Here is a 14177-nt window from a genome sequence, read left to right on the forward strand (position 1 = left end):
CCCTATTCAATAAATGGTGCTGGGGTAGCTGGCTAGCCATATGCAGAAGATTGAAACTGGACTCCTTCCTTACACCTTATACGAAAATTGTCTCAAGATGGATTAAAAACCATCTTTAAATGTAAAACCCCAAACTATAAAAACATTAGAAGAAAGTCTAGGCAATACCATTCACAACATAGGCACAGGCAAAGATTTCATGATGAAGATTCCAAAAGCAATTGCAACAAAAGCAAAATTGACAAATGGGATCTAACTAAACTAAATAGCACAGCAAAAAACAAAAACAGAAACAAACCCTATCAACACAGTAAGCAGACAACCTACAGAATGAGAGAAAATTTTTGCAAACGATGCGTCTGACAAAGGTTTAATATCCAGCATTTATAAGGAACTTAAACAAATTACAAGAAAAAATCAACCCCATTAAAAAGTGAGCAAAGGACATGAAGAGACACTTTTCAAAAGAAGACACACATGTGGCCAACAAACATGAAAACAAAGCTCAACATCACTACTTATTAGAGAAATGCAAATCAAAACCACAATGAGATACCATCTCACCCCAGTCAGAATGGCTATTACAAAAAGTCAAAACAAACAAACAAATAAAAAACAACAACAGATGCCAGCAAGATTGTGGAGAAAAAGGAATGCTTTTACACTGTTAGTGGGAGTGTAAATTAGTTCAGCCATTGTGGAAGACAGTGTGACAATTCCTTAAAGACCTAAACATAGAAATACCAATCGACCCAGCAGTGCCATTACTGGGTGTATACCCAAAGGAATATAAATCATTCTGTTATAAAGACACATGCATGCATATGCTCGTTGTGACACTACTCACAATAGCAAAGACATGGAATCAACCCAAATGCCCATCAGTGATAGACTGGCTAAATAAAATGTGGTACATATACACCAGGGAATACTGTGCAGCCATAAAAAAAATGAGATCATGTCTTTTGCAGGGACTTGGATAGAGCTGGAGGCCATTATCCTTAGCAAACTAACACAGAAACAGAAAACCAGATACCACATGTTCTCACTTATAAGTGGAAGCTAAATGACGAAGACACATGGACACATAGAGGGGGACAACACACACAGGGGCCTGTTGGAGGGTGGAGGGTGGGAGGAGGGAAAGAGGATGAGTAAAAATAACTATTGGGTACTAGGTTTAATACCTGGATGATTAAATAATCTGTACAACAAACTCCCATGACACAAGCTTACCTATGTAACAAACCTGCACATGTACCCCGAACTTAAAATGAAAGTTAAAAAAGAGTAAGAGTCCCTAATCCTACCTACCCAAAGTCATGTTATAACACCATTATAAAGGGATGATTTTAAGAAGAAAGAAGAGAGAAAAACAGATAACATAGCATGTATTATGAATTATAATGGCACTGAACTCTGTAGTTACAAAAAACCAGCAAGTAATAGACTTTAAAGTTCTGGTGGAAAATTATTATAAATCTAAAATTCTAAACCCATCCAAATAATCCAACAAATGTAAAGATAGAATGAATACATTTTTAGATATGCAAGAAGTAAAAATAAAATTTTCTTTTCCATTTTATGTATTTATTTGAGACAGGGTCTTGCTCTGTCACCTAGGCTGGAGTGCAGTGGTGTGATCATAGTCATAGCTCACTGCAGCCTCGAACTCCTAGGCTTATGTGATCCTCCCACTTTAGCTTCCCAAGTAGCTGGGACTACAGGTGCACACCACCATGCCCAGCTAATTTTTAATTTTTTTTCATAGAGATGGGTCTCCCTTTGTTGCCCAAGCTGGTCTCAAAGTGATTCTCCTGCCTTAGGCTCCCAAATGCTAGGATTACAGGTGTAAGCCACCACACCCAGCCTTTCTTCCCTTTCTTAGAAAGTTTTTAGAAGATATGCTTGGGCCAAGTGGGCAGTGAAAACAATAGATGTTTCCTAGGGTAGTGGTGAAGGAGTCCCATGTTGATAGCTGATCCATGGTTAGAAAGCAATCATTGCCAACAGGAATACATGAATAAAGGATTCTGGGAAAGATTTCTGCAGGCATGAAGAGAGACTTGGCACATTGTCTGATAGTGCTGGTATTTTGGAAAATAAAATTTGGAGAAATTTGGCAGATATGATAGAGGATGTCAACAAATTAAAGATAAATACACAGAAAACCAAGCAAATAAAGACAATTATTAATTTTAGTAAAACAAAAAATTTATACATTTTTTGGGCAGAGAAAGGAAGGTGTACTACTTGGCTCAACAGATATTAAAATTTAATTAGTAATGCAAACACTAACTTGATTTAAAAACTGTACATAATTATAATGAGAAAATGTAGTAAAGGAAAATGAACTGTGTGAAGAGAATGAAATCTTCTACTACCAACCTAGGAAATTAATAGAAAATACCAAGATGGATAAACCAAGAAATAACAGTGTTGTAAACATTGTTGGCGACCTACTCAGAATCCTTCCTACTAACAATGTAGGGTGGCAATATGCTTACTGGAAAAAATATATGAATTTTCCTGCTTTTACTGCCACTAAGAATGGTTGTGTTACACATTCTGGCCAGTGCTGCATGATCAGAAGTCACTGGGTGGGGCTTCCCGGAAGCCTTGTTAGAAGTGGGCAGATGTGCCTGGAACGTGACTTCGCCTCTCACTCTTTGCCCTTCGTCTTCTTGCCTGGAACACAGTTGCATAGCCAGAGGGAGCACATCTCTCTTGAGACTCCGAGGCCATAAGCATGAGAAAGAAAGTCACATGTCAAGGAGGCTGAGCAGAAAGAGGGGTCTCAGAGAGGTCCTTGATGGCGTAATGGGGAGCTAGCTGCTGTCTCAGCCCTGGATTGCCTCTGGGCCTCTTTCACCTAAAAAATATCAACTCATCATTTGTTCAGAAAACTGAGATTCATGTAGCTGAACAAGATACATAAGCATGATATTTAGAAAGTGTGGTGGTAAATAGTTGGTATGGTTTGGATATTTATCCCCTCCAAATCTCATGTTGAAATGTGATCCCCAATGTTGGAGGTGGGGCCTGGTGAAAGGTGTTTGGCTCATGGGGGCTGATCCCTCACGAATGGCGTGGTGCCCTCCCTGTGGCTTTGAGTGGTACTGAGTTTAGGTGAGAGCAGGTTGTTTAAGGGAGCCTGGCACCTCATCTCTCTCCTGCTCTCTCTCCTGCCATGTGACATGCTGGGTCCTCCTTTGCTTTCCATGAGTGGAAGTTTCCTGAGGCCTCATCAGAAGCAGATGCTGGTGCCATGTTTATACAGCCTGTGAGACCATGAGCCAATTGAACCTCTTTCCTTTACAAATTACCCACTCTTGGGTATTCCTTTGTAGCAATGCAAAACAAACTTATATCATAGTTTAAAACAGTTAAAATAATTCAAAGTGGTTCCATCTGGGGGAGGGGAGAGCATGGTAGAAAGTGCCGGGATTTTTTTGGTATAGTTGATGCTATAGTTAGCTCAATTTGATGTTTTGGATACTGTGTATGTATAAGTTCAATAAAATACAAGTTAATAAGAAAAAAGAAAAATGTTTCGAATGGGATGCTTGGATAGCTTCCTGTTTTACTTGAAATAAATTCCAAACTCCTTTAATAGATTTTCCATGATCCAGCTGGCCCTGGACACCTTCCTGCTTCATCTTTTGTCACTTTCCCCCTGTCTAATTCCCAGCCATGTTGTCTTCTGTCAGTTTTGTGAACTCTTTCAGTACATGTCACATGAAGCTTCCTCTGGGTCAGTCAGGGTCCAGCAGGAAATGGATGTTAGTGTCAAACTTGGCAGCCACGTAAGTTTAATAAAGGGTGGAGTTGAAGGACACCAACAAGAGGTGATGCTGCACTCTGGGGCTCGCGACAGTCGGGAGCCATCCATCCTCAGGCTTAAAGGACTAAAGAGAGCAGCTGTGTGGGGAAGGTCACCTGATAGGACTGTGGCCTTCGGGAGAACAAGGCTGTGACCCAATATGTATTTGGACACAAAGATTGCCATGTTCACTGTTAATTAAAGTGATTGGGGCAGTTGTTAATAGGAAAACATCCTGTTTACTTGAACGTTGTGTTGGAAGGATTGTTTAATCTTGTGTGAAAGGCTCTGCCCTTCTGTGCTGTGTCTCTGGTAGTCACATGGGCCAGGGCCTCTCAGGGAACACGTTGAGGCCTCAAGCAGTAGAAGGCTTCTTGGGTATGCAGGTACTGGCACAATTCAGCACTTGAGTTTGAAACCAGAGCGCAATCAGTATTGACCTGAGAGGTGCCGCTGGAAAACTGGCCCTTGAAGATGATCCTGTCACAGTGTTGGTGTCTCGCCCTCCAGAGAGTCAATGCTCCTTCACTGGGGTGGGTGAGCAGCAGAGACAGGGGTATCTGACCCCCCCCAGAACAAAGTGAATCTGACCAGTTAGGTGCCATTGTTGAAGTTGATCACCTTTCCTGAAGCACCTGCCATCAGGGCTGGAGAGGACATCCTGGCCCTCAGGAAATCCCTGCCATATTGCTTCCTATGTCCCAAGTGGTCTCTCACCTCCAGCAGGATGTCCAGCTGGTGCCTCCTGTAGTGCGTGTCTCGAGGGTTGAGGATGGTGGCTGTGCTGTGTGCAGCACTGGTGGTTGTGTTCATGTGGGTGAAAGGTCTGGGTGGGATCAGCTGGTCTAGTTTCTCCATGATTTCCTTTATTCTTAGCTTAGTCTCTGCTGCTGAAACTTCTGGACACAGTGGTGCTTCATGGTAGGAGAGAATATTAGGAAGGTATCCCTGTGATGAAGAAAGATAGGCATCTCTTGTCCTCACCAAAACTGAAATGGCAAAGAATGTGACCTATTATGTGTATGAAGCTGAACCTGTCCTTATTTCATTAACCTTAATAATGCATTTATATCTTTATTCATATATAACTACTGAAGTGTTCAATCTAAAAATTGGCCATAATTAAAATGCTGAAAGTTTTGAGTAAATCACATGAGTCAGTTGTTCCATTTGTACTTTAACCGCTTATTCCATAGGATGTTAAAAACCCATTTAAAAAACCCATTGAACCTAAAAATATATGGCTAAGAAAAAATTGTTTGATTAAAAAATGGTTACAATAGCAAATTGAAAGAAGTAATTATTAAGAAATATTACAGCACTTCTGAGTCTTAACAGAATGAAAGGAAAAATCATAATGAAAAAATTAACACTTTCAACAGTGAAATGCAAAGACTTTTTGTAAAAATTCATTAAATTTTGAATCGGTATCATGTGAACATGGTACAAAACTCAAAAGACACAAAAGAATGAAGTGTGGAAATAAATTTCTCTTTCATTCCTGTCTCTTGCCACATAGTTTTACTTCCCAAATTAATCACTCTTATCCTCCTTATAAATACCTTTCTAGAGTCTATGTGTACATATGTATGTGTACATGCATATATAACATATGTTTTCTTTTTTACATAAAATGCATTGTTCTGTGCCTTGCTTTTTTATGTAATGATGTATTTTGAATGTCTTTTCATTTCACTACATACTGAACTCTCTCAGTCATCCATTAAGATGGATGCACAGCATTCTACTGTATGGATTATTTAAGCAGTCTCTCATTGCTGGACGTATAGGTTTTCTTAATCTTTTGCTATTACAGTATTGAAAGTATAATCTTGTATTTGCATCCTGGAAATGGAAGCTTAAAAGCATGCCCTGTTCTGAAAAATAGAAAGGTTTGTGTTTTTGTTCTAGTGATTATCTTTCTTTCTTTCTTTTTTGAGACAGGACCACTCTATTGCCCAGGCTGGAGTGCAGTGACACAATCATGTCTCACTGCAGCCTCCATCTCCTGGGCTCAAGTGACCTCCTGCCTTAGCCTCCCAGGTAGCTGGGACCATCAGCATGCACCACCACACCCAGCTAATTTTTTGATATTTTGTAGGAATGAGGTCTCACTATGTTGCCCAGGCTGGTCTCAAACTCCTGGGCTGAAGTGATCCTCCCACCTCAGTCTCCCAAAGTACAGGGATTAGAGGCCTGAACCACCATGTCCAGCTGTGATTTTCTTTACATAACACACAAATTTATATATATATTTACATAAAATACTTCATCTTTTCTTTATTCAGCAGTGTTTATTGACTCCCTAGCATAAACAGCGACTAAAATATTTATACTTCCTTGCTCCAACTTTTTCCTCTCTATGACTGTATTTTTTGCTTATTTATCTTTGTGTTCACATCTATTTTCTTAAAAGCAAGTTTTAATAAACTATATATTTATATGTATCTTGTTAATATATTAAGTAATATCTTTTAAAATGAGGCTAAAAATGTTAAGGAAGTATCTTCACCTGTCCTTCACCAACTTTTTTTATTTGCAACATTTCTGTATTGTCATAGTATATAATATTTACATTGTTTTCCCTTTATAATATCCATAGTTTTGTTTTATTTTGTTCTTTGGTTAGTACTATAATTAAGTGGATTCAGTACTTGTCATTATTCTGTTTCTAAGAGTCTTTATCATTTATCTCTTGTTTAGCTGAAGCTAGTCTTTTATTTTTTTTTAAAGAAGAGCTTATGAGAACTATATCCCCTGAGTTTGTTGTAATAGTTGGATTTTTAAAAAAGTTGAATCTATAAGTAACCTGGGATCTATTTGATATGTGGTATGAGGTGAGAATACAAATTAACTTGTAACCTCCAGTAATGTACAAGATCTAGAGAAACAATTTTGCTTATTACTTCTTTAACCTTCAGAAAGATGAAACTATCCAAGAAACAAATTAAGAATTAATATATGCTTTCCTTTGAGGAAACTGAGAGGAAACTGAGACTTCAAACAGAAAAACATGTGTTCAGAGAATTTGAGGGTGTAGCAGAGAAAATAGTTCAAATAATTAACTGTAGGGCCCTGGTTGGGAAGAAAAGGAAATTGGAACCAGAAGGGATCTGATAAGATGAAAGAAAAGGGAAGAAACAAGGAAACAGTGCCTAGCATTCGATCTATTTTTGTTTACTGAATCTGTGACTGAATTCAGAGTTTCTGGGAGGTGCAATGAGAATGAGCTTATAGGAAATAAAGAAGAGTAAGAGGCTGTGGTTAGAAAGTAAGTATGAAAGGGCAGTCTTTCTGAAGTAGAGCAATTCAGGTGATAACAGGGTTCAAGGTGTGGCCCTCAAAGTGGGTTGTCAAAACACATTAGATTTGCAGGTACTGGTATTTCAAAAGAAAAATCACCATAAAGCTTCAATTTTGAATTGATTTAGAGGGGACCTAATGGAAGGGTTTTGGGAAAAGATGAAGATTTAGCCAGATACCTGATCATTCAGTGAATATGAGGCAAACAATAGATGCTATGAGGTTAGTCCTATCTTATGTTCCTTTTACAGATTAGGCAATTAAGCAAGAAGATGTTAAGTAGTTTGCCTATAGCCACACAATTAATAACTACCAGAGTCAAAATTCAAATGCAGACAGTCTGTTGCTAAGCCTGTGATCTAACATTTCTGCTACCAGTTGTGTTTGGGGTGGGGGTGTGCTGTTGCTGTTAATTTTACTTGAATGCAATCCTAGGGTTGGTGGAGAGACTGAGGAGCACACAAAAGCTCCTGGACCAGATCTGTCTTATACTAGGTGTAGTAGGGACATTCAGGCAAGGGTAGGACACTCAAGAGCCTAATCAAGAGCAATTCAAAATTTAGTAGGAGTCTCAAGTTAAGAGAAAACAGATTTAACTCTATCCGTCTTGCTTACCTTGGTCTCTCAGATTACAAAATTATAGATACAGTGATGGAGTATCAAATCTTTCCCAATTAATAAAAACCTACATGTCCATAATTCATCACCAGATAATTTAATACTATGCTCTTGGTCTGACCTGGGATAGATTGAATTCTGAGATAGATTTTATTGCATAAGTGGAGAAAGCAAGCCTTATTATTATTATTATTATTGAAAAACTTTTTTGGAATTCAGATAGTTGTAAAAATGATCTATATAATGAGCCTTAACAGAAGTGCCACATTATTTTACAAATCATCTTATCTGAAAATAAGAGCACACGCAAGGAGAGGAACGGACACAAAGCCACATGAAAAGATGGTCCCTTTTGTACATGCTGTTCCTTCTGGAATGCTTTCCCACCTTTTTCCTCTGGGTTACTTTCTCTGTCCCTTCTCTTCTGCCTCTCTGAGCCCTACTTCTTCTTCTAGTTTTGGCTTAGATATCACTTCCTCTGGGACGCTTTCCCCAAGCCCCCATCCCTGGGGTGGGTGGCCCATGTGTTCACCCTGGCACCCTTCCATAGTGGGCATCATGCAGTATTGCAATAGCCTGATACTTACTGGTATTCTCTCTATATCATCGTTAATGAGGACAGGGACCACACCTGTCCTGTTCAGCGCTGTGTCCTCATCTCAAGGCCTACCATATAATAGTTGATGAGTAAATCCATGTTTATTGAATAAATGATTCTCAGACCAGAACCTTGTTCTTCCTTACAGCTGCTTCAATGTCTTCTCTGTTGGGATCTTTCAGGTTCTCAGTATATATCATTAGCATAATCAAAAAGGAGGGAACTTGAAGACAAGGCAATTAGTGGCTGTATGTAAATTTTTTGGAAGACCTAGGTTTCCTGCTTCTTAGATTATTTGTCCCTTCCCTACACAATAATGTCAGCTCCACATCCCTCCTCCCTTACCCAGAAATCAGGAGGTGGAAAGAAGTTCCATGATTATTCTCACTATAAACACAGCATTTTGGTCCCTTGTTCATAGATGATCATGGTGCTACTCTGTTTTATTTTGATTCTTCCTTCTCTCAGTTCACAGAAGATTTATTTTTGATTAATTTCTGAAATGTGCTGTGTCCCTTTTTTATGTACACTACCATTTATTTTCTGTTTTATGTCATGTTCTAGATACACAGAGATACAGCATCACTTATTTGACAAATATTTATTGCTTGCTACTATGTGCTGGGCCCAGTGCTAAGGACTAAAGATGAATAAAATGGTTCCAATCATGGAGCTGGGATCACAGCTGTGCATCTCCATGAAGGATGCTTCCTCCACTCTGGTGAGTTGGAAGAGAATAGAGAAACCAGAGGTTGGGGGTCAGGAAGTAAGGGGAGAAGGAGGCTTGGTGGGAAACTGACATCAAGGTGGCACACAGACCATTTAGGGGCCTTCATAAACCATGCCCTGATGGAGGTCCCAGCTGCACCCCTGGTGGCTCTGCTCCCACAGCTTTGCATCTGCTAGTCCTCCTCTTTGTTATAGCCACACAAGTACCAGGGGGAGGCACATGCCATGGATTACAAAGTGACCCTTAGGAATGCTGGGAACAGGTTCACAAGGTGCGTAGGTGCCTGGATGTCTTGGCTTCCTGTGAGGTTGGAGCAGGCTCTGTAGTATGCGATGATGGGACTTAAGTGTTCCCACCCTCTGGGTATAAATTTTGGGTTGAATGTGGCTCTCTGCTATTTGGTGCTTATCTTCACACCAGCACTCCTTTTTCCTTACCAAGAGCTGCAATTAACACGATTCAGGCTTTGAGACCAGAAACAGTGGCGGGAATCACTGTGCTCAGCAACATCTGCCTTGCCTCTCCGAGATCTGCTGAGAGGTACAGAAAACTTTAGGATTAGCTCAGCACATTCAGCCCCACAGCCATTGCTCTGTGCTCTAAGTGTTACACCTTTAGGCTGTAAAACATGCCTAGATAGCCAAAGGGCCACATGGAATATTTCAATGAAGGAAAATCCTATCTTTAAAGAAGATGCTGCCAGCTACCAGCCTCAGGTGAAGACTGGAAAAATAAACCTTGACAAAAAGGGAATGTTTTTACTGTATGTAAGAGCACCTTGTTTTTGTGAATGGGGTTCTTGTCTGGATGTCTGAAGATCTTTTGGATATATTTGGAAATTGAAATCTTAATTGTTGGAAACTGAATAGATAGAAGGGGGAATTGAGAAATGGGCAGACCATCACTTTGCTCTGAGGTATCCTTTGCTCTGTGGTGACACCTCAAGAGTGTCAAAAATCTTGACTCATCCAGGGAAGGGCTGTGAATTAACAGAAATGTTTTTGGGGAATAAAAAGGAAGCTTTTAACTCTGTGTTTGCAAATTTACTTACCTCAGCCCAGGAAGGTTAAATGTAAGTTAATTTGCACTTATATTGGATACAAGGTGAGAGAACTAGAAATTAATTTCTTGAGTTTACTGTGAAATTTTGAACATTTACATATTCATGCTATAAAGAAGTATTCCCTAGTTAATTTCATGCAAAGTGACAGCTTTTTCAACCTATTTAGCATATCAACAAACCACTTTTATTAGTAATGACAGGTGTATTAATAACAGGGACAAGATTTCCAGATTTCCTTTTCTTATAAGACCACAACCATTATTAACCCCAAGAACAAAACCAGAATGTCTAGGCATAATGTGACCAATTGACCCCACAATTTTGAGAAACACAGCCACACACGTTTTATGAGCCTTTTATATGACAAATGTTAAATTTGGATAACCATTTTTCAAATTATACATATTTTTCTAAAGATACTTTACAGAAAATGCTTTCCCCCCGTTTGGCAAAAAGGTTCATTCTGTGAGCCCACTGAATTCGTATTAATAATAAAGTACATTTCACTATCATATGCTGTTCTCTCATTGGTTCTATCCCATTAACACTTATTCCTGGTTGTAGATTCTGGAGCTTTCTAAAGAGATGGTAAAACCTCTCTCTAAAGAGATGGTAAATGTTTTAATAAAGTTCTCTTTGGGGGAAAAAGAAGCAAAACTTAGTCTCTTTCCTCAAGATGTTTACAAGCTATTAGAGATAACAGATACTTTTAAAAATACATGTTTTTGTTTCTTTTATGGAGTAAATGACAAAACACTGTGGAAACATTATTCTTTCCCGGGGTGTCAGGGAAAGCTTCACAGAAGAAAATAATTCAATCTGGTTTTAAAGGGTGATTGGGAGTTTGACAGGTGGAAGGAGGGGCAGGAGGGCATTCTAGTCAGAAGGAGCAGCGTGTAGAGTGGTGCAGAGGCTTCAGAGACTGATGTATTTGAACACGTATTTGTCTTGTGTGTGGGACATTTAAAGAATTTTGTGTATGTATCTTTTATTTTTTATTGCATACATTTAAGGTATACAGTGTGATGTTTTGATATACATATGCATAGTGAAATGATTACTGTAGTCAGTATATTAACATATTCCTCACTGCACAATTACCTTTTGTTTGTTTGTTTGTTTTTTGAGACAGAGTCTCGCTCTGTAGCCCAGTCTGGAGTGCAGTGGTGCCATCTCGGCGAGCTTGCCCGCTAATTTTTTTTTGTATTTTTAGTAAAGACGGGGTTTCACTGTGGTCTCGATCTCCTGACCTCGTGATCCTCCCGCTTAGGCCTCCCAAAGTGCTGGCATTACAGGCGTAAGCCACCGTGCCTGGCCACAATTACCTTTTTAATTGAGGTAGAATACCTAAAATCTAGTCTCTCAGCAAATTTTCCATATACAATATTAACTATAGTTCTCATGCTGTACATTAGCTCTCTAGACATTCATCCAATAGAACTGCAAGTTTGTACCCTTTGACCTACACCTCCCTGTTTTCTCTTCCTCCCAGCCTGGATAACTACCATTCTACCCTGTTTCTATGTGTAGTTTTTAAGTTCCATATATAAGTGAGATCAAGCAATATTTTTCTTTCAGTATTATTTCTTTCCTTCAATATTGTTATTTTACTTAGCGTAACGTCCTCCAGGTTCACCCATGTTATTGCAAATATAGCAGCATCTCCTTTTGTAAGGCTGAATGATATTCCATTGTACATATATACTGCAAATTATTTATCTGTTCATCTATTGATGGGCACTTATGTTGTTTCTCTGTCTTGGCTATTGTGAATAATGCTGCAGTGAGCATGAGAATGCAGATATCTCTATGAAGTGCTGATTTCATTTCCTTTGGGATACTCAGCAGAGGGATTGCTGGGTCATATGGTAGTTCTGTTTTTAGGGGAACTGCCATACTGTTTTCCATAATGGCTGTACCAACTTACATTCCCACCAAGAGTGTATGAGAGTTCCCTTTGTGTGTGAAAATATTACCATCTCCTCATTTTTAGCAGGCACCTATATATAATGATGACTTCCAAATTGAGCATCTTTCTTACAGATCTCGCTCCTTCATAGGTGGTGTTGTATACTTTACATTGCATCAAATCATGTAGGACATAATGACCAGTTGTCCTGCTGTTACAAAGCTTTAAAATTAATAAAGCTAAGTTTGAGCAGTGGATTCAGAAGTGACAGCCTGCTATATCCATAGTAAAGTTCCAATCAAACCTTTTAAAAAAGTTCATTCACTGATGATCTCTGCCTTATTTACTTATTTGAGTAGAAGTTTTTAAATGGTGCTTTCCTAATTCTGTCGTTCTTTCTGTATTCATTAGCTGTAATTCTTCCAAAAAGAAGAAATTTCCTTTATCTATTAGGGTTATTGATTTTCTCTTTAACAGGAAAGAGGATAAATGTTCATATATTTCCCTTTTGTTGCCAATTTTCAAAATAAGGGTTTACCCAACTCCACTTACGACACATGAGAGATTTTGCTTTTATTCTTGCATGTCTCTTTTTGTATTGCTATGACCTCATGGATTTTATATATTATGTATTTCAATTAACTGCAGTCATTAGTCTTTTTGATGCTAAAACTAATCTATCTATGGCCAATGAAGAGACTCCTTTGGGTTACCTCCTCTGTTCCATGATATGATTCCATTTGTCTTTGATTATTTGCTTTCTGGCATAACAAGATGTCCAGGCTCATGGTATACATATTTTCTGTTCCAGTCCTGGAATCAGCCTTCCCTTCAAGGATGCCTCTTTTCTTTTATTGAGGAAGGGTTCTTAGACATCACAGTTAGGGTGCTCGGAGTGATTATTGCTAATGGGTTATCATTGCTCCTAGGCCTTTTCAATAGACAGAGCTAGGAAATATCTATATTGGAAATAGAAAGCATCATGAATTTGTACAGATATTTTCAAATCAGCTTAATAACATGGCTTTTAAAAAACTTTTTTAATATTTTAAACGAGCATCAGAACCAGGCATGGTATAGTCATTCTTCATGAATGATTCTCTTGGTTTTGCATCCCTTATCAGTTGTCATTGTCCTTACATAGCCTTCCTCCCCAAACAGATTCTTTTAAATTTATTTTCCTTAGTTCCTAAAATGAGTAAAACTTACTTTACAATACATGTGGGATTATGTGCAGAGATTGGTTCCTAGTGATTTTGTATAGTATTTATCCCTTAGCAAATGTAGTTTAAGAACATGTTAATCTGATTTCCAATCACATGATCAGGTGGGTGGATAGTGTCAGTGCCATATGCAATGGTCATGTCCCAGGCATCAATGATGCCCACGTTGAGGTCTTTGAAAATATCCTTCATGATAAGATAGTGAATATAACCATGGAAGTCTCCAAACCTCTCTGTCTCTATGTGCATCTCCCTGATGTTTTCTGTCTTAATAATCACTTTAGTGGCTGGGCTTCTTAGGAACAGTCTTTCAATAGCCTTTTGAACACCGATGGCCCTGCGAATAAAAATGTCAATGGGAAATGGTCTAAAGTGCTGGCCAAAGGTGATGACGATGGCTGTGTTTTTGTCACCTGATAGCCGGTCAATTTCCCGAGGGATATAATCATGATCTATCAGAGAGTAGAGCTGGAAAGTGACGAAGGGATAGCTATGTTTTTTCCATTGAATCTGAGTGTGTCTTTCTGCATCCAGAAGCAAATGTTTCTTAAAGATTCCAGTTTCATGAAGATCAAAAAACTTCAGTGCTGATAAAAAAACAAATAGATGTTTTAAATAGAAGATAATGGTTAATATTCATGAAAAAGAATGTCCTATCATTTAAAATACCCACCCTACCTAGATAATTGCTCACTGGAGCCTTTCTACTCTCTAGGGTACAGTACCCCCAGTTCATACATGTAAAATGTCAATCAAAAATGTAAAGTTTTCACTGGAATTTTAAAAGAAGACCAACATTTCTTATGAAAGAAGGAATAAAATACATTTTAAATGTAAAGGTTCAAATCCAGAGAGCCAAATGAAGTAAAAAACAAAATAGCTCAAACGAGAGAATAGAGACCTCATTAAA

The 14177-nt window shown here is 38.6% G+C and overlaps 2 protein-coding genes and 1 pseudogene across 11 annotated transcripts in view; 1 reads left to right on the top strand and 2 right to left on the bottom strand.

Moving 5' to 3' along the window:
* Positions 1 to 14177, top strand: part of NXPE2 (neurexophilin and PC-esterase domain family member 2) — a 349427-nt gene that overhangs the window by 44374 nt on the left and 290876 nt on the right. The window contains exon 2 of one of the 2 annotated variants that reach the window (XM_017017207.2): positions 8907 to 9063. The exons of the other annotated variant lie outside the window; for it this stretch is intronic. The gene's annotated coding sequence lies outside the window, so the exon portion shown is untranslated. The remainder of the gene's footprint in view (positions 1 to 8906; positions 9064 to 14177) is intronic. 2 annotated transcript variants of the gene reach the window in all.
* On the bottom strand, positions 4128 to 4789 carry NXPE2P1 (neurexophilin and PC-esterase domain family member 2 pseudogene 1; annotated as a pseudogene).
* NXPE1 (neurexophilin and PC-esterase domain family member 1) overlaps positions 10285 to 14177 on the bottom strand; it is a 40948-nt gene continuing 37055 nt past the window's right edge. For all 9 annotated transcript variants that reach the window (NM_152315.5, XM_011542598.4, NM_001367953.1 and 6 more), the window contains one exon: positions 10285 to 13854. In NM_152315.5, coding sequence (NP_689528.2) covers positions 13319 to 13854 — 536 coding nt within the window. In that variant the 3' untranslated portion in view covers positions 10285 to 13318. The remainder of the gene's footprint in view (positions 13855 to 14177) is intronic.

The sequence above is a fragment of the Homo sapiens genome, chromosome 11 (assembly GCF_000001405.40).
Source record: "Homo sapiens chromosome 11, GRCh38.p14 Primary Assembly".
NCBI classification, from domain to species: Eukaryota; Metazoa; Chordata; class Mammalia; order Primates; family Hominidae; genus Homo; species Homo sapiens.